Below are 27,715 nucleotides of genomic sequence, written 5' to 3'. Positions count from 1 at the left end.
TGTATAACTATAATGTATCCATTTTATATCAGGGACTTGAGCATCCCTGGACTTTGGCAGCTATAGGGTGCCCTGGAACAAATACCTATCGGATACCAACAGATGACTGTCATCAACTCTGATGTGCTCATCCCTCTAGTGATCGACATGTGACCAGTGCTGTCTCATCTGTACCCACATGGTCCCATATGTTGATACAAATCTCAACTTCCTTCTTGCATCAATACCTCAGTTATACCATAGGTAACACCTCACCACAACCCTAGCCAGTAAGTGTGGCCATTGTCCCCACTGTACAAAAAAGTAAAGGTCCCTAGTGGGGATAGGAGAGTTCCCGGTGTAGCAAGACTACAAGCCAGATAAGTACAATTCCACGAGGTTACTAGCTTGCCCCTAAATGAAACGGAAACTCACGGAGTGTCTATACTGCCAGGCTGGGAGGGGCTTGGGCTCCCCGACACTTCTCCAGCAACTGCTGTGATTGCCCAGCCTTCCTCCATTTGTTCCTTCAGCTCATTTGTTCACTAAACATTCACCAAGTGCCTGAACTGGTCCAGGAACACCGTAGTGAGCCACAGTGACAGCCTCTACCTCTTCATGGGGCTGCACCCTCACTGGGGTCACCAGTGTCACAGCCCAACACAGGCTAGGAAGCTGATGGCATGGAGCACAGCCTGCCTGACTTCCCAAAGAGGAGGTAAGCTTGACATATCCCACGGTCCTGTTTTGCCAGGGGTATCGCCCCCTGGGCCTGCCCTTTAGGAGTTAGGATGTCCTCACTTACAATGCCAGAATTCAAACTCAAACTGGCATAAGCAAAAAAAAAAAAAAAAAAAAAGGGAGGATGGCAGAATGCATTGTTCCTGTAATGGACCCCGAAGCCCAAGGGACTTGGGCTCTCTCCACCTCTTGGCTTTGTTTTTCTCTCTGTATTGGCTTCATTTTCCAACATGGCAGCCTTCCTTGCCATGACAGTTGTCAGAATCAAAATGGAGTCACTTGTGTTAAAAAACAAAAAACAGAGCTGGGGAAGGCTGCAAATGCAGAAACCACAGCTTTCCACAGAAAAAAAATACTGCAAGGACATCTGCCCAGCAACTTTTTGAGACGGAGTTTCGCTCTTGTTACCCAGGCTGAAGCGCAGTGGCGCAATCTCGGCTCACTGCAACCTCCGCCTCCTGGGTTCAAGCGATTCTGCCTCAGCCTCCCAAGTAGCTGGGATTGCAGGTGTGCACCACCACACCCAGCTAATTTTTGTATTTTTAGTAGAGACACGGTTTCACCATGTTGGCCAGGCTGGTCTTGAACTCCTGACTTCAAGTGATCCACCTGCCTCAGCCTCCCAAAGTGCTGGGATTAAAGGCGTGAGCTACCGTGCCCGGCTGACTTTTTTTTTTTTTTTTTTCTGAAACGGAGTCTGGATCAGTCACCCAGGCTGGAGTATAGTGGCACAATCTTGGCTCACCACAACCTCCGCCTCCTAGGTTCAAGCGATTCTCCTGCCTCAGCCTCCTGAGTAGCTGGGATCACAGGCATGCGCTACCACGCCTGGCTCATTTTTGTGTTTTTAGTAGAGACAGGGTTTTACCTTGTTGGCCAGGCTGCTCTTGAACTCCTGACCTCAGGTGATCCACCCGCCTCAGCCTCCCAAAGTGCTAGGATTATAGGCGTGAGTCACCGCACCCAGCTGAGCAACTTAACCCTAACCCTGTCCAACCTCATACTGAGGTCACCCTTGTTATCGATCCTTGTAGCCAAGGAGAATTCTCTCAAAACAATTAGGTGATCCTCTTCACTTTTCCTTGAAAAACCTTTGCCTTCTTTTGCCTCCCTGTATATGCACACAGTTTACCATACAGTTTACCATGGCACATGCATTCCCACTGCAACGCATTCCAGAATAAATATCATTTTCTCTCAGAGAGCCTGTTATTTAGGATGACATAACTAGAGTCAGAAGTGGGACCTACAGCTGGGCGTGGTGGCTCACACCTGTCATCCCAGCACTTGAGAGTCCAAGGCAGGAGGATCACTTGAGCCCAGGAATTTGACACCATCCTGGGCAACACAGCAAGACCCTGTCTCTAAAAAAAAAAAAAAAAATTAATTAGCCAGGTGTGGTGGTGCACACCTGTAGTCCCAGCTACTAGGGAGGCTGAGGTGGGAGGATGGCTTGAGCCCAGGGGTCAAGGCTGTCTCAGAAAAAAAAAAAAGAAAGAAAGAAAGAAAAAAGAAAAGAAAAGAAAAAAAAAATAAGTGAGACCCGAAACAAAATCACCTTTAAAAGGAATTGGGGCTGGGCACGGTGGCTCATGCCTGTTATCCCAGCACTTTTGGAGGCCAAGACAGGAGGATTATTTGAGCCCAGGAATTCAAGGCCAGCCTGGGAAACAGAGTGAGACCCTGTTTCAAAAAAATAAAATTAAAATAAAAAATAAAATTAAATAAATAAAACTAAAACACTGGTATGTAGAGGCGCCTAACTTCTCTATCTGCTTTTCTTTTCTTCCTCCTCTCTGCTGACTCTGTTGGCTTTTTCTTCTTCTTCTTCTTTTTTTTTTTTTTGAGGCGGAGTCTTGCTCTGTCACCAGGCTGGCACGATCTCGGCAACCTCTGCCTCCCGGGTTCAAGGAATTCCACTGCCTTAGCGTCCCGAGTAGCTGGGACTACAGGCATGCGCCACCATGCCTGGCTAATTTTTTGTATTTTATCATGTTGGCCAGGATGGTCTCGATCTCCTGACCTCATGATCTGCCTGCCTCGGCCTCCCAAAGTGCTGGGATTACAGGTGTGAACCACCGCACCTGGCCTTTTTCTTCTTTTTTTTTTTTTTTTTTTTTGAGACAGGGTCTCACTCTGCCACCCAGGCTGGAGTGCAGTGGTGCAGTCTCAGCTCACTGCAGCCTCAACCTCCTGGGCTCAAGCGATCCTCCCACCTCAGCCTCCCAAGGAGTTGGGAACACAGGCACCTGCCACCACGCCTGGCTAATTTTTGTAGAGATGGGGTTTCATCATGTTGTTCAGGCTGGTCTCTATCTCCTGAGCTCACATGATCCACTCATCTTGGCCTCTCAAAGTGCTAGAATTACAGGCGTGGCCACCGTGCCCAGCCAGCTTCTTCACTTGTATTAAGATAATTGTATTAAGATAATTTCACCCTGGGCAACCTGATCAGACCCCAACCCTACATTAAAAATACAAAAAGGTAGCTAGCGTGGAGGCACACACCTGTGGTCCCAGCTATTCAGGAGGCTGAGGTGGGAGGATCACTTGAGCCTGGAAGTTCAAGGCTGCGTTGAGCCGTGACACACTACTGCACTCTAGCCTGGGCGATGGAGTGAGATCTTGTCTCAAAAAAATAAGAATAAAAAAAGATAATCTAACATTGGTGATTTCAAAAGCTGTTTATAACTTTTCCTTAGGGCATTTCAGCCAAGAAAAAGAAAAGAAAAAAGGGTGCTTTCAAATTACAACAGCTCCATGGCAACCAAAAACCTAGCCTTGTACACTTAGGAGTCATTCCTTTCAGAAACATGTATGGAGGTTTGCCTAGCTGACAATTGCTTAGGGTGACGGAACAGTTAATTAAAAGATTGATAGTCTAAAAAGGAAAGAACTAGATCAATGTTTGTGAAAGTTAGGTTCTCAGATCAAACAGGTCAAACTCTTGAGCACACAGCAATCACATAAGGTATCTCTGTCCAGCATAAAAATTTGGCTTTGTCTGTCATGTACAATCCAGAAAAAGCTGAGGAAAAAAAACAACTGTAAATATCTTTTTGAAAAGTGCCTCTCCACCTGTGCTGACTAATCAAGCAAACCAGATTGGCCACTGGAAATTCTGTTTTTCTCATACAATTCAGCTAGTCCTAACTGAAATGTGAACATTTGAATATTTAACCTCTAAACTCATTTGATATGGAATAAAAGGATTTTAAAAAGATATTTTAAATCAAACTGCTGTAGACGCTGCTTTACCCAAAATTTTGATCTTCAGCCTTCATAAGATTACCTATGGGGTCAAATAATGCTCAGCCACACGAACGGGTCTCATTTTGTCAGAAATTGGATCCAACTGTCCTTTTATAAACTGGCAAGCGTATATTACTATATTGTACTGTCTCATGACAAAAATTTCAAAATGAAAGCTAGGGAATCTGTTTCTATGTAATCATGTGTCCGTACGTTTTCACATTCTGTGTAATATTTTCTACCAAAATATATGAAAAATATCTAATTAATTAAAGGGAAAAATTAAAAGCATTAATTATTTTATCAAAAATATAGTAATTAGGTGGGCATAGTGAGTCACGCCTGTAATCTCAGCACTTTAGAAGGCTGAGACAGGTGATGACTTAAGCCCAGGAGTTCTAAAACTAGCCTGGGCAGGCGGGGCGCGGTGCTTCACGCCTGTAATCCCAGCACTTTGGGAGGCCAAGGCGGGCGGATCACGAGGTCAGGAGTTTGAGACCAGCCTGCCCAACATGGTGAAACCCCATCTCTACTAAAAATACAAAAATTAGTCTCTACTAAAAATACAAAAGGTACAAAAGTTAAAAAAAAAAAAAAAACTAGCCTGGGCAACATAAGGAGACCCCCATCTCTACAAAAAAAAAAAAAAAAAAAAAAAAATAGCCAGTGTGGTAGTGCGCACCTGTATGCCCAGCTACTCAGGGAGCTCAGGTAGGAGGAGAGGATTGCTTGAGCCCAGGAGGTTGAGACTGTAGTGAGCCATGATGGCACCACTGCACTCCAGCCTGGGCAACAGAGTGAGACCCTGTCTCAAAAACAGTGGCTCATGCTTGTAATCCCAGCTACTTGGGAGGTGGAAGCATGAGAATTGCTTCAACCTGGGAGGTGGGGGTTGCAGTGAGCTGAGATTGCACCACTGCACTCCAGCCTGGGCAACAGAGCGAGACTCTGTCTCAAAAAAAATCTGTAGCTGGGACTACAGGTGCGCGCCACCACGCCTGGCTATTTTTTTTTTTTTTTTTTTTGTATTTTTAGTAGAGACGGGGTTTCACCGTGTTAGCCAGGATGGTCTCGATCTCCTGACCTCGTGATCCGCCCGTCTTGGCCTCCCAGAAAAAGTTGTTTCTAAAGGAAAAACACTAAAATATGCCTGCTATTAGATTGCAGCCCTTTGCATTGTTTCTTATCTACATGAAGACGGGACTAGACCCCAAATCCTCCTAATTTCCTCTAATATTTGGCTAAAACTCTCCAACTAAGAAAAAAACCTGTTATGTTGCTAAAGGCCTTGAAGCTGAAGCTGGAAAACTTGGTATAAATATCCAGGGACAAGTCTCATGCCTGATGTATGGGTCACACAGGAAGTTCTCCAAACCACCTGATGCCATAACCAGAGACATTCAAACTGCAAACCAGAACAAGAAGTTGAGCGCTTCAGCTGGGCTCGGTGGCTTCAGGCCTGTCATCCCAGCACTTTGGGAGGCCGAGGCGGGCGGATCACTTGGGGTCAGGAGTTCAAGACCAGTCTGGCCAACATGGTGAAACCCCATCTCTACCAAAAATATTTTTTAAAAATTAGCTGGCTGTGGTGGCACGCACCTGTAATCCCAGCTACTCGGGAGGCTGAGGCAGGAGAATTGCTTGAACCTGGGAGTTGGAGGTTGCAGTAAGCCAAGATCATGCTGCTGCACTCCAGCCTGGGCGACAGAGCGAGACTCCATCTCAAAAAAAAAAGAAGTTGAGAGCTTCACCCATCAAAATGAAAATCTTGTCACTCTTAATTTTTCCTTTCTTATGTCTGCCTTTTCGTTGACAGGATAATGGTGTAATTGAAATTGCACAATCAATAGCTTCTGTCAGTAACCTCACAGAACCTGACCTAAGAGATCCTTCAGCATCTATTGGTTAAATCAGGAAATATCTGTTCTATTGCTAATAGCACATGCTGAACCTGGATAAATTCCCCTGGGGAACTTGAGGCCCCATATACACGAAATTACAAAACATAGGTTATAACAGGTCACATAGGTTATAATGGGTCTCACCTAATTCCCCATGGTCATTTGATTTATTCACTTGATTGCCTTTAAGCCTAGGTTCATAGCTCAAAACTATTATGAAAACTGGGGGTATCATATTACTACTAATATTAATTTGTATTTTCCTTTTAACAATTTGTACTTGTTACTTGTGAAACTTCTGCAGAAGTACAGCTGCTAACAGAGTATGCTGGCACGGGGCTTCCAGATGATGGCCAAAAGACCACAGAACAGAAAAAATAGAATTTAACGATGGACTTCAGGTAGACTTAGTCTGAGTGCAACTCTCTCCAAATTTCCATTGTTGCTCAGATGTGCCTAAAGGGGTTTTGACACTGACTCTTAGTTGTCAATCACTCCCTCTTATCTGGAACCAGACCAACAACCCAGGACAGGTCCATCCCAGCACTGAGGGACAATCCAAACCTACTGCTTTTGAAGAAAGATCACGATCAAAAAGGGGAAATGTGAAAGTTGCCAGAAGCAAAATGGAGTCACCTGTATTAAAAACAAAACAGGTGCAGTGGCTCACGCCTATAATCCCAGCACTTTGGGAGGCTGAGGTGGGTGGATCACTTGAGGTCAGGAGTTTGAGACCATCCTGGCCAACATGGTAAAACCCTGTCTCTAGTAAAAATACAAAAATTAGCCAGGCATGGTGATGCAGGCCTGTAGTCCCAGCTACTCAGGAGGTTGAGGTGGGAGAATTGCTGGAACCTGGGAGACGGAGGTTGCAGTGAGCCAAGATCGCACCACTGCACTCCAGCCTGGGTGACAAAGTGAGACTCTGTCTCATTAAAAAAAAAAAAAAAAAAAAAAAAAAAACAAAAAAAAAAAACCCTGCCAGGTGTGGTGGCACATGCCTGTAGTCCTAGCTACTCAGGAGGCTGCAGCAGGAGAATTGTTTGAGCCCAGGAGTTCTGGGCTGTAGTATGCCAGGCCGATCAGGTGTCCACAAAAAGCTCAGCATCAGTATCCTGGGAATGGAGGACCACTAGGTTGTCTAGGGAGGAATGAACCAGCCCAGGCTGGAAATGGAGCAGGTTAAAACTTCCATGCTAGCCAGGTGCGGTGGCTCACCCCTGTAGTCTAGCACTTTGGGAGGCTGTCATGGGAGGATCCCTTGAGCCTAGGAGTTCGAGATGAGCCTGAGCAACATAGGGAGACCCTGTCTCTACGAAAAATTTTTAAAAATTAGCCAGGCATGGTAGTACACACCTGTATTCCTAGCTACTGGGGAGGCTGAGGCAGGAGGACCACTTGAGCCCAGGATTTCTGGGCTGTGGTATGCTATTCTGATCTGGTGTCTTCACTAAACTCAGCATCAATATGGTAATCTCCTGGGAGCAGGAGACCACCAGGTTTCCTAAGGAAGAGTGAACCAGCCCAGCTCAGAAACAGAGCAAATAAAAACTCCCATGCTGATCAGTAGTAGGATCGCTCCGTGAAAAGCCACTGCACTTCCAGCCAGGGTCACATAGCAAGACCCCACCTTAAAAAAAAAAAACAAACCCGAAAACCGGAGCTGGGGAAGGCCATGAAGGGAAGGTTCTCATGTGTGATGCCTGATAGCAAAACCCATCATGAGACTGCAAAAACTATAACCCTGTACAACGGCTATCATCACCAGAGTGATATAGTTTTTGCAGTCTCATCACCTTACACACAGAAAATACTTCTGTGAACACATCTACCCAGCAGCTGCTTGTCCAAATTTGGACTGATGCCACCTTTGTTATTAATCCTTGTAGCCAAGAATAATTACCTGAAAACAATTATGTAATTCTCATTTTTTCTTTAAAAACTTTTCTCAGCCGGGCACAGTGGTTCACACCTGTAATCCCAGCACTTTGGGAGGCTGAGGAAGGCGGATCACCTGAGGTCGGGAGTTCAAGACCAGTCTGACCAACATAGTGAAACCCCGTCTCTACTAAAAATACAAAATCAGCCGGGCGTGGTGGCGGGTGCCCGTAATCCCAGCCACTCAGGAGGCTGAGGCAGGAGAATCGCTTGAATCCAGGAGGCGGAGGGTGCAGTGAGCTGAGATCGCGCCATTGCACTCCAGCCTGGGCAACAAGAGCCAAACTCCATCTCAAAAACAAACAAACAGACAAACAAACAAACAAACAAACAAAAAACACCTTTGTCAGCCTGCTGCAATGGCTCATGTTTGTAATCCCAGCACTTTGGAAGGCCGAGACAGGAGAATTGCTTAAGCCCAGGAGTTTGGGACCAGTGTAAGGCAACATGGTTAAACCCCATCTCTACAAAAAATGCAAAAAAATTAGCCAGGCATGGTGGCACATGCCTGTAGTCCCAGCTACTCGAGGGGGCTGAAGTGGAAGGGTCACCCGAGTCCAGGAGGTGAAGGCTGCAGTTAGCCAGTATCACACCACTGCACTCCACCCTGGGCAACAGAGTGAGACCCTACCTTAAAAAACAACAACAACAAAACCCTTTTTCTCCCTTCGCCTCCCTGAATATACACAGTTTACTATGGCACACACATTCCCATTGCAGTACCCATTCCAAATAAATACCATTTTCTTTTAGTCTCCCTCTCTGTGACTTAGGATGGCATTCCCAATACTTCAGTACAAGTTCCTGGGGACTAACCCTCACTGGTCCAGACTGGATTATGGCATGATGTCTGCCCACTCTGAGTGGCTGGCTGGTTATACCTGGTTATGTGCCCACTCCAGGGCCCAGCGTTGGGGTCATCCACATGCAAACCATGTGTACTGAGAGTGGAGGAGGGATGGTTCCCCCAGAGAAAACTAAGGTGCTGCAACCTGATGCTGGGCAGGCAAAAGTGACAGGTGTCATTACACTTCCCTGTGGATACTCAATGTACCTCATACTTACACTAGCATATGCCTTCCATGCCTTTTTAAATTTTTTTAAAAATCTGTTTATGTAGAAATAGGGTCTTCCCATGATGCCCGGGCTGGTCTCAAACTCCTGGGCTCAAGCAATCTTCCCTCCTCAGCCTCCCAAAATGCTGGGATTACAGGTATGAGCCACCTCACCTGGCCTCTTTATTTATCAAATACTGTTTCTGGGCCAGGCACGGTGGCTTATGCCTGTAATCCCAGCACTTTGGGAGGTCGAGGTGGGTGGATCACCTGAGGTCAGGAGTTTGAGACCAGCCTGGCCAACATGGTGAAACCCCACCTCTACTAAAAATACAAAAATTAGCTGGGTGTGGTGGTACATACCTGTAATCCCAGCTACTTGGGAGGCTGAGGTAGGAGAATCACTTGAACCCGGGAGGCAGAGGTTGCAGTGAGCCAAGACTGTGCCACTGCACTCCAGCCCGGGCGATAGAGTGAGACTCTGTCTCAAAAAAAAAAAAAAAAAATCCTGTTTCTAGAGGCCCCTGCCTCAAGAGCAGAGGTAGGCATGCCTCTCAGGGTCACCACTGTGACCTTATTACATAATACCTGGCAGGCCTCCCATCTGAAATGTGTTGATGTTGTTTCAGCTGTTGCTATCATTTGTTCCATCTGTTTGTTCGGTCCAGATGACTTCTCTTTGGGCACTAGATATCCTCACCTCTTCCTCCTTCTCTTCTAGGGTAAATTATTATTATTATTACTATTATTATTATTATTATTTTGAGTCAAGGTCTCACTTTGTTGCCCAGGCTGGAGTGCAGTGGTGCCATCTCAGCTCACTGCAGCCTCCATCTCCCGGGGTTCAAGCGACCCTCCCACGTCAGCCTTCCGAGTAGCTGGGAGTACAGGCGCATGCCACCACGCCAGGCTAATTTTTGTATTTTTTGTAGAGATGGGGTTTTGCCATGTTGCCCAGGCTGGTCTTGAACTCCTGAGCTCAAGTGATCCACCCGCCTCGGTCTCCCAAAGTGCTGAGATAACAGGCGTGAGCCACCCGCACCCTGGGGTAAATTACTGATTCCCTAAACCAACTAGGAACATTGTCTTGCCTTTAATTTTGCTATTCCCTTTTCCTGCAGACAAAGCCACCAAATTCTTCATGTCAGATATCCCACCTGCCCACTTGGGCTTTTCAGGGAAGGCTGAAGTGATTGACAATAACAGACAGCAGTCTTCTGACTGCATTTGCTCTCCTTGACACCTGGCAAAAACAAGAATTGGTGGCTGCCAAGTGGCTAGTTCCAGGTGAATTTTACTGACAGTGTCAGGCAGGCCCAACAGCACAGGCAAGTGGAATACAAAAATTCCCTTTTCCTTCAAGAAGGACACAACTTTTTGGGTTTTCCTTCTTTGGCTTTTCCAGCTGACTCCTTTCTCCCTCTGGCCAATTTTACCCCATCCTCAGACAATCCCTACCCTCACTGCCGTTTTCCAAATTGCAATCTTCAGCCCCAGCATGTGCCTAGTCCAGCCCTTTCACCTGTCCTAGTCTAAATACTGTCTACTTCCATCAGGACCCTTCAACCCCATTTGAAAGGGACAGAACAACCTTTCCAGAACACCAAGTACAAACACACAAATCGCTTCTGCCTTAGTGATCCCTGGAGGCTAAACAATGGCTGAGAGCTATGGCTGCAAATGTTTTTGATCATCCACACATCAAACCCTTGTAACAACCCTCAGCATATGTATATTTGCTCATATTATACGCACATACTAACTTGAACTTTGTAAAACACACACAAAAATCAATTTTTTTTTTTTTGAGATGGGAGTCTCACTCTGTTGCCCAGGCTGGAGGAGAGTGGCGCGATCTCGGCTCACTGCAACCTCCCCCCACCCGGGGTTCAAGAGATTGTCCTGCCTCAGCCTCCCAAATAGCTGGGACTACAGGCGCCCACCACCACGCCCGGCTAATTTGTTTGTATTTTTAGTAGAGACGGGGTCTCACCGTGTTAGCCAGGATGGTCTCAATCTCCTGACCTCGTGATCCGCCCGCCTCGGCCTCCCAAAGTGCTAGGATTACAGGCATTAGCCACCGCACCCGGCCAAAAAAACTTTTTAAGCTGGGCATGGTGGCATGCTCCTGTAGTCCCAGCTACTTGGGATACTGAGGTGGGAAGATCGCTTGAGCCCAGGGGTTCGAGGCTGCAGTGATTATGATGGCACTACTGCATTCCAGCCTGGGTAACAGAGCGAGACCCTGTCTCTAAATAAATAAATAAAGTTTTAAAATAAATTTAAATGTCAATAAATTTATTAAAAGTATATTATTTGGCTGGGCACGGTGGCTCACACCTGTAATCCCAGCACTTAGGGAGGCTGAGGCGGGTGGATCGTTTGAGGTCACGAATTTGAGACCAGCCTGGCCAACATGGCAAACCCTGTCTCTACTAAAAAATATAAAAATTAGCCGGGTGGTAGTGGCGCACGCCTGTAATCCCAGCTACTCAGGAGGCTGAGGCAGGAGAATCGCTTGAATCCGGGAGGCGGAGGTTGCAGTCAGCCGAGCTTGTGCCACTGCACTCCAGCCTAGGCGACAGAGCGAGACCCTGTCTCAAAAATAAATAAATAAGTAATAAAAACAAATGTATATCATTCATTTGAAACATTAGAGACGTGGGTGGTTTTGTTCTGTTCTGTTTCCACATCTGCAACCATGCGTCTTGTGCACCTACCCGGGGCAAATACCTCCGACTCCATCACAGTCTTGACAAGAGGTTGAAGTGTGCAGATTGATTCCAGTTGCACCAATAAGCTTTGGGAACATATGATCCCCCCCCCCCCAACTCTGTACTGTCTTCTGTACTGCCTTCCGACCTTCTTTCTACACATTCCCATCATATTTTTCCCCAACTTTCTGCCTTCTTTCTCTTCCTTTACCACAAAGCCTCTGCACCTTGCTAGTGGCGCCAAAGTTTGGAAAAGCAGACAAGTCCACTTAATGTTCCACAGTATAGAAACTGGCCTACGCCGGGCGCAGTGGCTCACGCCTGTAATCCCAGAACTTTGCGAGGCCGAGGCGGGTGGCTCACGAGGTCAGGAGTTCGAGACCTACCTGGCCAACATGGTGAAACCCCGTCTCTACTAAAAATACAAAAATTAGCCGGGCGCGGGGGCGGACGCCTGTAATCTTAGCTACGCGGGAGGCTTAGAGAGGAGAATGGATTGAACCCGGGAGGCGGAGGTTGCAGGGAGGCGGAGGTTGCAGTGAGCCGAGATCGCGCCACTGCACTCCGGGCTGGGTGACAGAGCAAGACTCAGTCTCAGAAAATAAATACATAAAATAGAAATAGGCGCTCGGTCAATACTTGAACGAAAGGAGGAACTCCGCACAGAGCCTGGCGTCCAGGTCGGTCAAACTCAACCCTGGGGCCCCAGGGCTGGGCACCTTGAGCGGCAACGTGGCCAAAACCCTAACCCCGGGCACCCAGCCCTGCTAACGTCTAACCCTCTGTCCCATTGCCTTTAGAGGTCGCAGCGTAATCGGGAATGCCTGGGGCTCCCTCCCAGAGCGGGTCGCCCCAGCGATCACAACAGCTTCAGATGCGCTGCCAAGCGATTGGTCCAGGCAGCGCCAAGCGCCGACCAGCTCACCCGCACCGCGCCCGCGCCGGCGCGTCACTCCCAGAGACGTCACAACCGGTCGGAGCCCAGCGAGCAGCCGGAGTTGAGCTGGACGCTGAGGGGGGGGCGGGGCCCTGACGCGCGGGGCGGGGAAGGGAGGGGCTTCGGTGGGGCGGGGCCCTGACAGGCCGAGCTCGCGGGCGACTGCCGGCCAGGCAGACGCTGCAGCTAAGCTGCGCGGTGGCTGTGGCAGGTGAGAGCCTCCGGAAGGGAGGCGGCCTCTGGCCCCGACCCTGCTCCGCGATCGCCCACTCGGGCGCCCGGCCGGGCCTGGCAGGGAAGGGCCGCCGCCGCCGCCGCGCGTTTGCGAGGCCTGGCGGGGCCGCGGGGCCCAGGAATGGCGTAAGGGGCCCCCCCAGACTCCGAGACGGCCCGAGCGGGTCGCCGGCTGTGGGACGGCGGCGTGCCCTTCCTTTCCTCCCTCCCAGGTTCGCGCCCGAGCTCTGCTAGCCACCCGTCCGACAACTTCCGGACTCCCAGGTAGGGAGGAGCCCCTGTTAGCACTGCCAGTTACCCCGAACACTTGGCCGTTTTGGAAGGGCCGGGACTCCCTCCCCTGCCTTGTGGGTGCATCTGCTCAAACTCTGTCGGCCCCTCAAGCAGAAATGGTGTGGGATCTGGGCCAAACCCCTCTTGGAGTGACTCAGAGCCGCCAGCCCTACTGGAGGGATGGGGCATGGGGTGGATGGCCCCTAGCCTTTCCCTTCTGAGCTGGTTTGTATCACCCCGGTGGCTTCAGTCCTGGTGCCTTCATCTTAGCTCCTGTACTTTGCCTCTCCCACCCCACTGGTTTTCCTGCCTCCCTCTTCAGAGGTAAGACACATGGCTGGACCAAGGCCTCCAGGGTAAGTGACCCGAACTTCAAGCCAGCAGAGGCCATGTCATCCTAAGCTAGGGATAGGGGAGGCTCGCCGGGATGAGCCTTTGGCTTAACCTAACCTCTGCTCCCTACTTCTGCCTCACCCCAGTCTCAGATGACGGGAGGCCAATGCCAAAGACGGATAGGATCTATAGAGGCAGTCCTCTTCTAGGACTGGGACACAACAGTGCATGAGGCAACTGACAGGGGTGATGTAAAGCTGTTGTGTCTCCATCCTGGTTGCCCCAGTTCTAGCAGGTGATGTGACACTACGGTGGTCGCTGCCCAGATTGAGAAGTGGAAGGGGGTGTTGCTGGCCGCTAGAAACACTCATAATTCCACTGAGTTTGAGGCTCTGGTAGGGGCGCATGTGGGCATGGGAAGGAGCCCTGCACTCTGAGCACAGCCTCTCAGATGTAACGCAGTGGCTCTGGGAGGTCAAAGTCTCAGCCCAGTGGGAGCTCTGACAAAAGGAGGAGAAACCCCCCCAGTAGACATGTGGCTCTGTCTGATCCACTCCTGCCGCCCCTTCTGGCAACTTCCCTGGGGAGGGAGGACCTGCTTCCCAGCAGGACCTTCATCGAGTCACTGTAGGGGCAGGTAGAGTGGGCCAGGGAGCCACAGCTGAATGGCACTCAAGGGCCATCACTAGGCATTGCCTCTCCATTCCTGAGTGTGGGGCAAGGGTCCCTGCTGAGTTTTACTCTTAGCAGTGGGCTTCCAGATCCCCATGCTCCTGGGTTCTTGACTGCCTCCCTCTTCAGAGGTAAGACACATGGCTGGACCAAGGCCTCCAGGGTAAGTGACCCTCACCAGCTGCCTCTCTGTGTCCCTTACCTCCTCAGGGACAGCCCTGCCATCAAGGAAGACAGCACAGGACTGGGACCCACCCATGAACCCTTCTCAGGACAACCCAACAGCACCAGTGGGGATGTTCTCCTAAGCCGCAGAGGGCCTGGGCACGCCATCCGTCCTCCAGGAAGAGCCATGGTGTTAATGCAGGACAAGGGCAGCTCTCAGCAGTGGCCTGGTCTGGGGGGCGAGGGTGGTGGCACAGGTCCCTTAAGCATGCTCAGAGCTGCCCTGCTGCTCATCAGCCTGCCATGGGGGGCCCAAGGGACAGCCAGCACCAGCCTCAGCACTGCTGGGGGTCACACCGTGCCACCGACTGGGGGCCGCTACTTGAGCATTGGAGATGGCTCTGTGATGGAGTTTGAGTTTCCTGAGGACAGTGAGGGCATCATCGTGATCTCCAGCCAGTACCCAGGCCAGGCCAACAGGACGGCGCCTGGCCCCATGCTCAGGGTCACCTCCCTGGACACAGAGGTGCTGACCATCAAGAACGTGAGTGCTATAACCTGGGGAGGCGGGGGTGGCTTTGTGGTGAGCATCCACTCAGGCCTGGCTGGGCTGGCCCCACTCCACATCCAGCTCGTGGACGCCCATGAGGCCCCGCCCACACTGATTGAGGAGCGGAGAGACTTCTGCATCAAGGTCTCACCTGCTGAAGACACGCCTGCCACCCTCAGCGCCGACCTGGCCCACTTCTCGGAAAACCCAATCCTCTACCTGCTCCTGCCTCTTATCTTTGTCAACAAGTGTTCGTTTGGGTGCAAAGTGGAACTCGAGGTTCTGAAGGGGCTCATGCAGAGCCCCCAGCCCATGCTGCTGGGCCTCCTGGGCCAGTTTCTGGTCATGCCCTTGTACGCTTTCCTCATGGCCAAGGTCTTCATGCTGCCCAAGGCCCTGGCTCTGGGCCTCATCATCACCTGCTCGTCGCCTGGCGGCGGGGGGAGCTACCTCTTCAGCCTCCTTCTTGGAGGGGACGTCACCCTGGCCATCTCCATGACTTTCCTCTCTACGGTGGCTGCCACTGGCTTCTTGCCTCTGTCTTCGGCCATCTACAGCCGCCTGCTCAGCATCCATGAGACGCTCCACGTGCCCATCTCCAAGATCCTGGGGACCCTGCTGTTCATTGCCATCCCCATAGCCGTGGGCGTGCTGATCAAGTCCAAGCTCCCCAAGTTCTCCCAGCTGCTGCTGCAGGTCGTCAAGCCCTTCAGCTTTGTGCTCCTCCTGGGCGGCCTCTTCCTGGCCTATCGCATGGGGGTCTTCATCCTGGCAGGCATCCGGCTACCCATCGTACTGGTGGGTATCACGGTGCCCCTGGTTGGCCTGTTGGTGGGCTACTGCCTAGCCACGTGTCTGAAGCTGCCAGTGGCCCAGCGGCGGACGGTCAGCATTGAGGTAGGGGTGCAGAACAGCCTGCTGGCCTTGGCCATGCTGCAGCTATCCCTCCGCCGCCTTCAAGCTGACTATGCCTCCCAGGCCCCCTTCATTGTGGCGCTGAGCGGCACCTCCGAGATGCTGGCCTTGGTCATTGGCCACTTCATCTACAGCAGCCTGTTCCCAGTTCCCTGAGGCCTCTGGGTCAAGCTTTCATCAGCCCCAGCCCCCACACTCCACCAAAGTTCTCATGCACTATGCACTCAGAAAAATCCAGGCTTATTTTTTTTACTGATTTTTTATTCTCCAGCTTTCAGTGCCAAAGAGGCCATGCTGAGTTAGGTAGGTGGGCGCTGCCCAGAAAATATATTTCAATAAAAGAGAGAAGCAAGCTTGGGTCCCTTCTACTCTTTGCCCTTTGGGGCCTGGGCGTGGGGGTAGAAAGAGTGTGCTGGGTAAGTGTGGACCAGGGTGGAGGGCCAGCTTGGGTGACACGGTGACCCCTGCATAGGCTTTCCCTATCAGCCCTCCCCGGGGGTGTCCCCACTCTGGGAGAGGTGGGAGGATGAGGGCAGAGGCGTAGCCCCCCTGCCCCCTCTCAAGCTCAGTGGAGCGTTTCGCAGCCAGACCAGAAAGGAGGAGGTAGGAAGCCACCAGACAGGGAGCGGGGGCGGGCCGTCTGTGGGTATGCAGGGCCAGGCGCCGCCAGCAGTCCTGGCGCGTGAGGTGGGCCAGGCAGTCCGCGGGGGCGAGCGTACCTTCTGGCCCTCCCTTCTCCATGTCCCAGCTCCCAGATGACGCCAACCTGGCCCGACTGGTTCCTGCTCCCAACTCCCCCGCGTCGTTGCTTTGGGAGGGGTCCGCCGGCCAGGGCGGTCGATGCGCGCATGCTAGGCGGGACCCCGGGGGGACTCCTCCCGGGGCGCAATTGGGCCGGGGGGCGGGGCCGGGGCGCGGACGGGGCAGGAGGGCGGGGCCGGGAAGCGCGGGCGGCGGGCGCGCCCCTCTCGCTGCTTCCGGCGGCGGCGGGCGGTTCCAGCGCGCGCCCGGGGCGGCGGCGCGCGGCGGGGGGTGGTTGGGGTGCGCGCCGGCCCGAGTGGACGCCGTCGCGACCGCCATGCAGCTGACGGTGAAGGCGCTGCAGGGCCGCGAGTGCAGCCTGCAGGTAGGGTCCCCGGGCCGGGCCGCCGGGTCCGGCGCGCTCTCTCGCCCGCTCCTGGCAGGGGGACCGGCAGGGCCGAGGGCGGGCACGGGGCGGCCGGGCCGAGGGCCGGGAGCCGGGAGAGCTGCCCTCGGGGGCGGACGCGTGGGCTTCGCCGTCTGGGGGCCGCGGGCTCAACCCTTGCCTCCCACCCTCCGCGCGGCCAGGTGCCAGAGGACGAGCTGGTGTCCACGCTGAAGCAGCTGGTCTCCGAGAAGCTGAACGTCCCAGTGCGCCAGCAGCGGCTGCTGTTCAAGGGCAAGGCCCTGGCAGGTACCCAGGGAGAGGAGACGCCCGGGGAGCCCCGCAGGAAGCGGGACCGGGGTGCGCGGGCCGAGGCCAGCAGCCGTGTGTCGGGTCGGGGTGCGGGCGCCAAGCGCCACATGACCCCAAGGGAGGCGGCCGCATGCCTCACAGCCGGATGCCGCAGCGCTCCGCTCCCGCCGCCCGAGGCGGCCTCGCGCCCCGGGCCACCCCCACGGCGGTGGAGGAGGAGGAACCCATCGATCTGTCTTTGGCAGATGGGAAACGACTCTCGGATTATAGCATCGGGCCCAACTCCAAGCTCAACCTAGTGGTCAAACCCCTGGAGAAGGTGCTACTAGAAGAAGGCGAGGCCCAGAGGCTGGCCGACTCCCCACCCCCGCAGGTCTGGCAGCTGATCTCCAAAGTCTTGGCCCGCCACTTCAGTGCGGCAGATGCCAGCAGGGTCCTGGAACAGCTACAGAGGGTGAGAAGGGTAACCCTGGGCATCCTCTTCAGGCCCAGTTGCTCCCAGCCCCTACCTCTGTTGCAGTGTATGCCCCCCCACCACTGGCAGCCCCTGAATCTTCCTGCCCTTCTCTCCCCAGGATTACGAGAGGTCCCTGAGTCGCCTGACGCTGGACGACATCGAACGGTTGGCCAGCCGCTTCCTGCACCCTGAAGTGACTGAGACAATGGAGAAGGGCTTCTCCAAATAGAATTCTCGGAGCATGGGGAGGTGCCCAACGCCAGGCTACCGCTGCATGTCGCACTAAGTGTGTTCTCCTGTTGCAGTTGGGCTCATCATCATCATAGCTGGCATGTACCTGGCTCTGGCCAGGTGCTAGGCACTCCTCACAGCTTGACCTGGGTTTGCTTCCACACCCTCAGAAGAGGAGAGCCGGCACAGCAGAGGCACCGGCGATGAAGTGGCACAGCCCCAGTCGGAATCCAGCGGCTTCTGAAAGTGCCTTGGTGTGAGAAGGAGGAAGGGGCCGCTTGGAGAGCTGGGCTCTCGCATGTCATGTTTAGCCCACTGAGAATATACCCTCAGGTGACTCCCTCCCGATCCTGAAAGGGAAAGCAGCTGTCACCTGACTTCTGGCGGGTCCAACATAGCCCTCAGCTTACCTCTGCAGGAGGCCAAGTGACAGCCAGCCCTGGAACCCCCCGACCCCCGCAGCTGCTGCAGCCAGTGTGCCAGTGTGCGTTCGACAAATGGAAAAGCAGATTGGGGCCAGGGAGTCAGCAAGGCACCCCAGCTCTGTGATGTGACTTTGGGCGAGTCTCAGTGCCACTTGGTCCCCAGCCATGGACTCTATACAGTGAGGGCCACTCACCGACCTGAGTCAGTGTCCTCTGTCTCACAGGGCCCCTCTCCCTTCTGTTCAGTAAACAAACTGAAGCCAAAAATGAAGCCGTGGCCAAGTGTGACCCAGAGATGGGGTGTCCTGGCCCTTAGTGACACAGCTCCTCTCTGGGGCACCCTATCTGCTTGTCTCGTCCAGGAAGCGTTAGGGCTGATGGGTGACTCAGCAAGGCAGTGTCAGAGCTGGGACTGGGCGTAGGCCTTTGTCCTCATCCCCAGCACTGGCCTCCCTGTGGAAGATGAACATATCCCAGCCACCTGTGTACAGGGGCTCACTTTGTGTGCTCCTTGTTGCCTGAGAAGAAACCTTGGGGTGCCAGGGTGGGGGCAGAAGCATGGACTGGGTTCCGGTTCATCCTCCTCCACCCTGCCGTGTGTGTGGGCACAAGAGGACATCTAACCACCTGCTCCTTGGAGGAGGCCCCCAGGGGTGGTAGAGGCTGGAAGGAAGCCACATCAGGAGGACGCCACTCCGGCCCTTCACCCTTGCCAAGTGAGCTGCTCACAGTGTGGTCAGGGCTGCGCGTGCTGGAGGCCCTCCTGCCTGGGCCTTGTGGGGCAAATATTGGGTCCCCAGGCTGGAAAGATGGACAGAGGCCCAATGGGTGAAGGCTTTGAAGAGCACACAGAAGCCCCTGGCCCCCCACGAGAGCTGGAGAGCCATGTATATGGCTTCAAAGCCACCTACGGCAGGGACACACTCGTGAGCATGTGTGGCCTGCAGTTCAGGTGATACATTTACCAGTGTTCTTGTTTGTGTGGTGCCAGGAAATTGATTTTGGAAAAAGTGAAATAACATTAAAGGTGAATGTGAGGCTTCTACTTTTATCCAAAAGGAGCTATATTAGCTAGGCTGTTTCTGATATCCAATCATTGGTTTAACAATAAAGGCAATTTGTTTAATCAGTTAACGGAAATTTCTTGGCTTATGAAAGTGAAAAGTCCAGTGGTATTGGCATTGGCAGCAGGTGAGCAATTTCACCCAGTGTCTTCTGCCTCCCTCTGCGTTGGTATCTGCTACATCCCAGGCCACCACCTCCGAGGATGAAAAGATGGCTGCCTGCAGCTTCCACGGAATCCCTCCCTCACTGCCAGAGCAGCATCTTCTCTGTGTACCACCTCTGCTGTCTCAGATGCCCCCAGCAAATAAACACTCTTCTCGTTGGTCAGAACTGGATTGTGCGTCCAATCATTTTGGCTGGGGTAGGGGGTAATTCTCCGTCAGGGCTGGCTCCCTGGAGCTAGGCATGGGGCCACTTCCCTGGACACACATGGGCTATGCAAGGGACAGAAGGCTCTGGGGGAGGGCTGGATGAATGGATATCCTCAATGGTGGCCGCAAATGGCAGCTGTCCACTACAGGGGCCATGCATGTGTCAGATCAGGGCCACCTCGCAGGTAGTGGAGGAGAGGGCTGGAGGCGTCAAGATCACACAGGGAAAGCGTTTTCTGAGGCTTGGGTTAGGGAAAGCACCAGAGAGAGGAAACACTGCAGGGATGGGAGACAGGAAGTGGGGGGATCGTTAGAGGACACTGGGGATTCTGCATGAAGATGGAGCAGCCACAGGCTGCAGCCCCCCCAATGCTGAGATCCTTTAACAGGGGTCAGAATGTTTACTGCAGGTGCTGCGCCCCTCTGAGCCAATTGTCCGCCCTGAGAGGTAGCACCGAGTCATCCACTGCCCCCTGCCCGGTGAAGGGCCCTGAGACCCACCACCTGCCCCTCAGGGAGGGGCCTCGGGACAGTATCTGAGTCCTGCGGCCATGGTGTGACTACAATGACATCAGGAGATAGCAGCATGAGTGAAGGGCCCAGCTGGGATGAGGTGCTTTTGGTGTCGTTTCCCAAGGGCCCACGGGAGGAAGAGCGGCCTCAGAGGACAGCAGCATTTGCCTTGGGGTGGGGAGGTTCCCTGGCAATGGATCAGCTGGTGTCCCATGTGAGCCTCACCAGCTCCAATAGATCTGCCCGGGCCTGGTACTCCCAGGAGTAGATGCAGCAGAGGTGGCCAGCCTTGAGCCTCCCAGCCCTGAAAAGCCTTCAGGAGAGATGAGAGACACACAGCAACTGCCCTGTCCTCCTCCAGGGCCCAGCTGGAGCGGCCTGCATACACCTTCAGGGCCCCACTGAATGGCCGGCAGTCCTCATTCCTCACCCTCTTCTGCCTTTGCTCTCCCGCTGTTTCCACCACTTGCTCCTACTCAGGCTCTCTTGCTGGTTCTTCACACACACCCCACCCCTCAATGTTGGTGCCCCAGGGCTCTGTCCCTGAGCCCCTTCTCTTCCCTCTGTATCACTCCTCGGGGAGCTCATCCAGCTTGCTTTCTATTTCTGTGCCTCACTGCCATGTCTATGTCTCATCCCGGCCCTCTCTCCTGAGCTCCAGCCCATGTCTTCCAGACAGCGCCTGACTTTGCTGCAGACGACACCCTGCTCATCACTGAGTGCCCCCTTGTGTCCCAGGTGCTGGCAACCCTGAGACTGGAAGACACAGTCCCTTCCCTCTTGGCACTCACGTCCAGCACTGGCCGGCTCCTCAGCACACACGTGTTCTCCACGGCCCGGCTGGAGGACTGGCAATGCCACTCAGCCAGGCTTCTGAGGGAGCAGGAGGCCATCTTTGCCTCTCCCAACTAGCCATTCTCCATAGGCAATCAGGCAAGAATATTTTTGGAAGCATCCAGGGCAGCTGCTACTGTATCCTTTCCTCCTCTGACCACACTCACCCCCAGCCCCTCATCAGGCAGCTGGCAGGGTCAGGCTGCCCCACTGTTGAGGACGCTCAGTTTGATCACGTGATCCAGGTGGCTGCTGCCAGATCTCTCCCCTGTAAAGACGCAGTTTCCCTTCCTGATTCACAAGTAATTTGGGGTAATATTTGGGGACTTTGTGAATATCCTGTCCCCAACAACCTTTCAGCTAATGCTTTTGCCATCCAGCGACAATTCCTTGCCTGAATCGATTTTTTTTTTTTTTTGTGAGACGGAGCCTCACTCTGTCACCCAGGCTGGAGTGCAATGGCGTGGTCTCGGCTCACTGCAATCTCTGCCTCCTGGGTTCAAGAGATTCTCCCGCCTCAGCCTCCTGAGTAGCTGAGACTACAGATGCATGCCACCACAGCCGGCTAATTTTTTTTGTACTTTTAGTAGAGATGGGATTTCACTGTGTTGGCCAGGCTGGTCTCAAACTCCTGACCTCGCAATCCACTCGCCTCGGCCTCCCAAAGTGCTGGAATTACAGGCGTGAGCCACTACACCTGGCCATCCTGAATCAATTATTAAGTTAATAACAATTAATTATTACATTGGTGGTTGCAAAGATGGTAATTTTCTGATAGTTTTTTCTACAGCTATTACTTGCCATTTCCCTATAAAAACCTTTCCTTTATCTCTGCTTTCTTTCCTGAATATCATGGACTTTTTTGTTTGTTTGTTTGATTGAGACAGAGTCTCAGTCTGTTACTTGTGCAGAGTGCAGTGGCTAGATCATAGCTCACTGTAGCCTTGACTTCCTGGGCTCAAGCAATCCTCCTGCGTCAGCCTCTCTGGTAGCTGGGACCGCAGGCACACACTGTCACAGCCGGCTAATTTTTTTTTTTTTTTTTTTGAGACAGAGTTTTGCTCTTGTTGCCCAGGCTGGAGTGCAATGGTGCGATCTGGGCTCACCACAACCTCCACCTCCCGGGTTCAAGCCATTCTCCTGTCTCAGCCTCCCAAATAGCTGGGATAACAAGCTCCTGCCACCACAACTGGCTAATTTTTGTATTTTTAGTAGAGATGGGGTTTCACCATGTTGGTCAGGCTGGTCTGGAACTCCTGACCTCAAGTGATCTGCCTGCCTTGGCCTCCCAAAGTGCTGGGATTACAGGCATGAGCCACTGCGCCCAGCCCCATGCAATTTAAATTAGAAATTAAAAAGTCATTCTGCGGTGTGGTGAATAGGTTGTAGAGGGGAAAGTGTAAAAGAGAATCAGCCAGGAAGCTGTTGAGGGAGGTCAAGGAAAGATGCTGGCTTCCACAGCAGACTAGCAGTGGAGAGCGAGAAGTGGGCTGATGTGGAACCTATTTCAGAGGGAAACCCAACAGGATTTGCTGATATAGTTCAGTGTTTAATCCTTCCTTATGACTGCAAAGGAGGAAAATAGGTTGTCCAAACATGACAAACACTGTTGGAAATTTTATGTCACTTTATTTATTCATTTTTTATTTTTATTATTTTTCTTTTTGAGACAGTCTCCCTCTGTCGCCCAGGCTGGAGTGCAGTGGCGTGATGTCGGCTCACCACAACCTCCACCTCCCGGGTTCAAGTGATTCTTCTGTCCCAGCCTCCCGAATAGCTGGGACTACAGGCGCACACCACGACACGCAGCTAATTTTTGTTATTTTTAGTAGGGCCGGGGGTTTCACCATGTTGGCCAGGATGGTGTTGAACTCCTGACTTCAAGTGATCCACCCGCCTCGGCCTCCCAAAGTACTGGGATTATAGGCGTGAGCCACCGTGCCCGGACTGATGTCACTTTAAATACTTTTTTTTTTATTGTAAATGTCATAAAAGACCACTTCGGAAAAATTGGAGGGAAAACACAAAAAGGAAATTAAAGTCACCCACCATACTATTAGCAGAGATCATGAGGATTTACCTGACGCTGTATTGTTCTAGGATTTCTCTACATATGTACAGTAAGAGACTAAGTTGGCATTTTCTTTTATTTTTTGAGGCGGGGTCTGGCTCTATCAACCAGGCTGGAGTGCGGTGGGGCGATCACGGCTAACTGCAGCCTCTGCCTCCCGGGCTCAGGCTGTCCTCCCATCTCAGCCTCCCTAGTAGCTGGGACCACAGGTGTGCACCATCACACCCAGCTAATTTTTGTATTTTTTGTAGAGGCAGGGTTTCACTATGTTGCCCAGGCTGGTGTCGAACTCCCGGGCTCAAGCAATCAACCCTCCTCAGCCTCCAAGAAGCTATGACTACAGGCACGCTCCACCACTCCCAGCTAACTTTTAAAATTTATTTTTGTATTTTTTGTAGAGACGGGGTCTCACTATGTTGCCTGTGTTTGTCTTGAACTCCTGGGCTCAAGTGATCCTCCTCCCTTGGCCTTCCAAAGTGCTGGGATTCCAAGCGGGGGCCACTTTGCCTGGCCTAAACTGGCATTTTCATACTCATAGTTGTGCAGTCTGATTTTTCACGTTATATTAGACCTAGACCCACCGCCAGTACTTTCATTCAAGGCCCTGTCATTTTTCGCCTCCGTGCAGGCCTCCTGCTGACAGGCTCCCCCGCTCTGCACAGCCCACCCGCTCTAAAATGCTTCCTCTAAAATGCACATCCGATGCTTCACAGTCCATGGTGAAGCCCCGTTGGTTGGGCACTGGGGTTGAGGGCAAGAGCAGTATCCTTGGGGGTTACCCGACCCGGCCACCCTCCCTCTGCGAATCGCAACATGGACGTTGTGCCACATCTCCTGGGGCTCTTGGGTCCAGGTAAGAAACGGGGCGGGAAGCCGTCCAGGCACCGCAGGGCCTCACTGGGGCCTCCAGGGACAAGGGGGAAGGCCCCGCCAGCGCAGGCGCGCTAAGGTCACAAGGCGCGCTTAGGGGCGGAGCCTCGCGGGGTGCGCCTCTGGGATAGGCGACCACGGTGTCTTCAAAAGCCCCGTCAGGGTTGGCTTCCTGGGGCCGGACCGACTGTGGGTCAGTTTGCACCAGCGCTCTGGAATCGAGTTACGCGCGAAAGGGCAGAGTTTCTGGAGGAAACCGCAGCCTCTCAACCGCTGACCGGGTCTCAGAAGGCCCCCGGCAGGGCCGCTTGGCGGGAACTGACCACGCGCCAGTCAGGCTCTCCAGGGACCTGCGCAGGCGCGTGTGGGCGGAGTCGTGCGCAGGGGGCGGGGCTTCGGGAAGGAGCCACAGAGAGGGCGGGGCGTAGGACCTGCGCTTCGGGGGTGGAGTCGGAGCGGCGCGGCGGCGGTCATGCGGGACGCGGATGCAGACGCAGGCGGAGGCGCTGACGGCGGGGATGGCCGGGGTGGCCACAGCTGCCGCGGGGGCGTGGACACAGCCGCAGCTCCGGCCGGTGGAGCTCCCCCAGCGCACGCGCCAGGTCCGGGCAGAGACGCCGCGTCTGCGGCCAGGGGGTCACGAATGCGGCCGCACATATTGTATCCTTTCCGAGCTGGGGGCTGCTTGCGGCGGAGCGAGGGCTGGACTCGGGGAGAAGGAAAGGAGGGCGGGCGGGGGGCCGACGGAAAGGGTAGCAGGGGGGGACCGGGGCTGGCGTATACGGTCAGAGGTGGTCGGAGGAGGGGAAGACATTGAAATGGAGGGAGAAGCTCTGCTAACGGTGGCCTGGGCGAGGTAAGGAGTGAAGGGGGTGACACTAGGCAGGGTGACCTGAGAGGGGGCTTCAGAGGAGCAAGAAGGCCTGAGACATAGGCAAGATCGTATCAGATGGCACCTTAACCGAATGACCCCCAGCACCCTCAGCGTGCCTTTCCCGACCCCCTTGGAGGCGGAAATCGCCCATGGGTCCCTGGCACCAGATGCCGAGCCCCACCAAAGGGTGGTTGGGAAGGATCTCACAGTGAGTGGCAGGATCCTGGTCGTGTAAGTTCTGAAAGGGACGGGGTTGGGGGAGGCGGCCCATGGAGACATGGGGGACATCCAAGGATGAGCCCTAAGGAGCGCCAGGTGCGCTGGGCCGGTCTCTGCCTGAGGGGCTGTGTAATGGCAGGGCTCCCAAGGGTTTGCTATATTGGGTGCCTGAGGGGCAGAGCGAGGGACCAGGAGTTGCCACCTCCAATTTGATTTTCTTTTCCCCTCACTTTTAGCCGCTGGAAAGCTGAAGACTGTCGCCTGCTCCGAATTTCCGTCATCAACTTTCTTGACCAGCTTTCCCTGGTGGTGCGGACCATGCAGCGCTTTGGGCCCCCCGTTTCCCGCTAAGCCTGGCCTGGGCAAATGGAGCGAGGTCCCACTTTGCGTCTCCTTGTAGGCAGTGCGTCCATCCTTCCCTAGGGCAGGAATTCCCACAGTTGCTACTTTCCTGGGAGGGCCTCATGTTTTATCTGGTTCTTAAATGTTTGTTACTACAGAAAATAAAACTGCGCTACTATTCCAAGTCTGAGTTTATTTGCAGCTGGGGCACCTCCCAATATTCTTGTTGTGCTTGGGTTGCTGGGGGGGGGGTTCTAGAATTCAGATATTCAAGGAGTACAAGGAAATTGAAGACAATTTAGGAAATGGAAGAAAATGAAAATCAATTGGGTTCTGTCATTCAGGATTAACTACTGTCAACATTTTGGAATACTTCCTCAGTTTTACAGTTGCACTTACATAGTAAATGTGTAACTGTAATATACACCACATAATATTTGCAAGTTTAGTGTTAAATTTTTTTCCTGATTTTTAAATCTAACATGAGCTTTTTTCCTCTAACGATCAGTGAAGAAAGTGCTGGGGCAATTGACTAGTGTCTGGGGCAAGGAGTTGGCTCCCTGGAAAATACAGTGTCTCCAGCCTTAGGGCTCTTTTATAGATTCTATCAGATTTTCTGAGAGTGAAAAGGAAGAGGTACAACTGCTTTTATTCTCAGAAAACAAGGAAATGGTTTGATCCTTTTGAGTCTTGCTTTGAAGATGTGCTGTGTGGGACCAGAGCAGCTCTTAACTGTAGGCTTGTTTCCCTCTATGGAGGCAACAAACACCATTCTGGGCACCCTGGCCAGTGCTGCCTAGGTGAACATGAGCTTCTCTATCCTGGTGGGTGGGGACAGCTGCTAGTCCCTGTCCTGCTTGCACACTGGAGTTACCGTTCATCCTCTCCTGCTGGGGTGATGGCCTTCCCTGGTCTTGGGTAGCTTCCTCACACGCCTGTGCTCACCAGTAGTCGTAGTCCGCTGCACACTGGAACGGGAGCCTCTGTGGATATCCAGGGTTCTTTCCCTGTGCAGCTCTCTTCTCTCTGGTTCTCCGCCCTGCAAACTCCAGCTGCTGGGACGCTCTGAATCAGTTTCAACTCCTAAAGTCCGGGTGTCTGCCAGGCTCCACCAGGAAACTCCACACAGGACACTGGGCCAGTCGCATGGCTTACCTTGTTTCCCAGCTCCCACACGTCGCTGTCCCTCACTGGCCCACAGCCAGTTTTTTAATACTCTGCATTCCATATATTTTGTCTGGTTTGGCGTGTTCTTTCATTTGGCATGACATATCCAGTCCCTATTACTCCATATGGAGGAACAGTTTCCCTTTGTAGAATCTGGGGAGCTCTGCCAGTGGTGACGGTGGCACTGGCCTTCAGCTTATGAAGATGACACTTTCCTCTCTCCCTCTCTTTTGCTCTCATTCCTTTCTTCCTTTCTTAATATTTTTTAGACATTAATTATTGACGAATAGTTGACAATTTAGATCTTTCACTTTTTTTTTTTTTTTTTGAGACAGTGTTTCACTCTTGTTGCCCAGGCTGGAGTGCAATGGTGCGATCTTGGCTCACCGCAACCTCCACTTCCCGGGTTCAAGTGAATTCTCCTGCCTCAGCCTCCCAAGTAGCTAGAATTACAGGCATGCACCACCACGCCCAGCTAATTTTGTATTTTTAGTAGACACAGGGTTTCTCCATGTTGGTGAGGCTGGTCTCGAACTCCCGACCTCAGGTGGTCCACCCACCTCAGCCTCCCAAAGTGCTGGGATTACAGGCATGAGCCACCGCGCCCAGCCGATCTTTTGTTTTTTAATTATTATTATTTTTTTTGATACAGGGTCTGGCTCTGTCACCTAGGCTGGCACAATCACAGCTCACTGCAGCCTTGTTCCCCAGCACCTCAGCCTCCTGAGTAACTGGGACCACAGGCATGCACCACCATGCCTGGCTAGTTTTTTATTTTTTGTAGAGAGGGGATCTCGCTTTGTTGCCCAGGCTGGTCCTGAACTCCTGGGCTCCAGTGATCTTCCCGCCTGGGCCTCCAAAAGTGCTGGGATGACAAGTGCGAGCCACCACACCTGGCCCCAATTTAGCTCTGTTTCCCTTCCTCTTCCTCTCATGATGCTTCTGGTAGATTCCATCCATTTCTGAGGGATTTCCCCTGAGGTTAAAACTGCCTTGTTTTCCTGTGGCTTAGTTGTCATTATCATATGATGGTAGTATTTTCAACCATCTCCCTTATCCTCTGTCCTCTGTCCAGATGGTTCTGTCTGGGCCGACGGCACAGCTGTCATCCCGCAACTTCTCTTTATCCTGGGCTACAATCCAGTCCTGCCTCACACGTCCTTCTCTTTATTATTTTAC

At 52.8% G+C, this 27,715-nt stretch overlaps 4 protein-coding genes and 1 pseudogene across 14 annotated transcripts in view, besides 10 other annotated features; 4 read left to right on the top strand and 1 right to left on the bottom strand.

Moving 5' to 3' along the window:
- On the top strand, positions 7,209-7,507 carry RN7SL697P (RNA, 7SL, cytoplasmic 697, pseudogene; annotated as a pseudogene).
- Positions 12,461-12,970: a silencer, noted in NCBI's record as "silent region_21112". NCBI's record gives its function as "represses an Ori minimal core promoter by ATAC-STARR-seq in GM12878 lymphoblastoid cells {active_cell/tissue: GM12878}" and the evidence as "EXISTENCE:reporter gene assay evidence [ECO:0000049][PMID:35858748]".
- Positions 12,693-16,011, top strand: SLC10A3 (solute carrier family 10 member 3). Of its 11 annotated transcripts, none has more exons than NM_001142391.3 (4): positions 12,693-12,728; positions 12,964-13,015; positions 14,240-14,738; positions 14,826-16,011. In NM_001142391.3, the coding sequence occupies exons 3-4, from the start codon at positions 14,382-14,384 to the stop codon at positions 15,813-15,815; spliced, it is 1,347 nt and encodes a 448-aa protein (NP_001135863.1). In that variant the 5' UTR covers positions 12,693-12,728; positions 12,964-13,015; positions 14,240-14,381; the 3' UTR covers positions 15,816-16,011. The 11 variants fall into 11 exon arrangements, with proteins under 11 accessions (NP_001135863.1, XP_047298515.1, NP_001135864.1 ...); XM_047442559.1 differs by having other exon boundaries at positions 12,964-13,380; NM_001142392.3 differs by having other exon boundaries at positions 14,240-16,011.
- Positions 16,104-16,163: an enhancer, noted in NCBI's record as "active region_30064". NCBI's record gives its function as "activates an Ori minimal core promoter by ATAC-STARR-seq in GM12878 lymphoblastoid cells {active_cell/tissue: GM12878}" and the evidence as "EXISTENCE:reporter gene assay evidence [ECO:0000049][PMID:35858748]".
- Positions 16,424-16,683: a silencer, noted in NCBI's record as "silent region_21111". NCBI's record gives its function as "represses an Ori minimal core promoter by ATAC-STARR-seq in GM12878 lymphoblastoid cells {active_cell/tissue: GM12878}" and the evidence as "EXISTENCE:reporter gene assay evidence [ECO:0000049][PMID:35858748]".
- Positions 16,424-17,323: a biological region, named in NCBI's record as "H3K27ac-H3K4me1 hESC enhancer GRCh37_chrX:153714402-153715160".
- Positions 16,501-17,259: an enhancer, noted in NCBI's record as "H3K27ac-H3K4me1 hESC enhancer chrX:153714402-153715160 (GRCh37/hg19 assembly coordinates)". NCBI's record gives its function as "activates a minimal SCP1, AML or CMV promoter by ChIP-STARR-seq in primed H9 embryonic stem cells {active_cell/tissue: H9 hESC(primed)}" and the evidence as "EXISTENCE:reporter gene assay evidence [ECO:0000049][PMID:30033119]".
- On the top strand, positions 16,707-19,605 carry UBL4A (ubiquitin like 4A). The gene is made up of 4 exons (NM_014235.5): positions 16,707-16,785; positions 16,989-17,094; positions 17,343-17,551; positions 17,673-19,605. Exons 1-4 carry the CDS (start codon positions 16,738-16,740, stop codon positions 17,781-17,783), a joined length of 474 nt encoding a protein of 157 aa, NP_055050.1. The 5' UTR covers positions 16,707-16,737; the 3' UTR covers positions 17,784-19,605.
- Positions 17,174-17,323: a silencer, noted in NCBI's record as "silent region_21110". NCBI's record gives its function as "represses an Ori minimal core promoter by ATAC-STARR-seq in GM12878 lymphoblastoid cells {active_cell/tissue: GM12878}" and the evidence as "EXISTENCE:reporter gene assay evidence [ECO:0000049][PMID:35858748]".
- Positions 17,260-18,018: an enhancer, noted in NCBI's record as "H3K27ac-H3K4me1 hESC enhancer chrX:153713643-153714401 (GRCh37/hg19 assembly coordinates)". NCBI's record gives its function as "activates a minimal SCP1, AML or CMV promoter by ChIP-STARR-seq in primed H9 embryonic stem cells {active_cell/tissue: H9 hESC(primed)}" and the evidence as "EXISTENCE:reporter gene assay evidence [ECO:0000049][PMID:30033119]".
- Positions 21,272-21,331: an enhancer, noted in NCBI's record as "active region_30063". NCBI's record gives its function as "activates an Ori minimal core promoter by ATAC-STARR-seq in GM12878 lymphoblastoid cells {active_cell/tissue: GM12878}" and the evidence as "EXISTENCE:reporter gene assay evidence [ECO:0000049][PMID:35858748]".
- Positions 23,667-24,166: an enhancer, noted in NCBI's record as "H3K27ac hESC enhancer chrX:153707495-153707994 (GRCh37/hg19 assembly coordinates)". NCBI's record gives its function as "activates a minimal SCP1, AML or CMV promoter by ChIP-STARR-seq in primed H9 embryonic stem cells {active_cell/tissue: H9 hESC(primed)}" and the evidence as "EXISTENCE:reporter gene assay evidence [ECO:0000049][PMID:30033119]".
- LAGE3 (L antigen family member 3) lies at positions 24,041-25,547 on the top strand. The gene is made up of 3 exons (NM_006014.5): positions 24,041-24,594; positions 24,911-25,039; positions 25,264-25,547. The coding sequence occupies exons 1-3, from the start codon at positions 24,407-24,409 to the stop codon at positions 25,376-25,378; spliced, it is 432 nt and encodes a 143-aa protein (NP_006005.2). The 5' UTR covers positions 24,041-24,406; the 3' UTR covers positions 25,379-25,547.
- Positions 24,428-24,647: a silencer, noted in NCBI's record as "silent region_21109". NCBI's record gives its function as "represses an Ori minimal core promoter by ATAC-STARR-seq in GM12878 lymphoblastoid cells {active_cell/tissue: GM12878}" and the evidence as "EXISTENCE:reporter gene assay evidence [ECO:0000049][PMID:35858748]".
- The window catches only part of PLXNA3 (plexin A3), a 19,499-nt gene continuing 17,326 nt past the window's right edge, over positions 25,543-27,715 (bottom strand). The window contains exon 33 of the mRNA NM_017514.5: positions 25,543-27,715. This exon is cut by the window's right edge and continues 3,017 nt beyond it. The gene's annotated coding sequence lies outside the window, so the exon portion shown is untranslated.

Source organism: Homo sapiens, chromosome X (assembly GCF_000001405.40).
Source record: "Homo sapiens chromosome X, GRCh38.p14 Primary Assembly".
In the NCBI taxonomy this organism is placed as follows: domain Eukaryota; kingdom Metazoa; phylum Chordata; class Mammalia; order Primates; family Hominidae; genus Homo; species Homo sapiens.
This window is presented reverse-complemented; position numbering and strand designations above follow the sequence as displayed.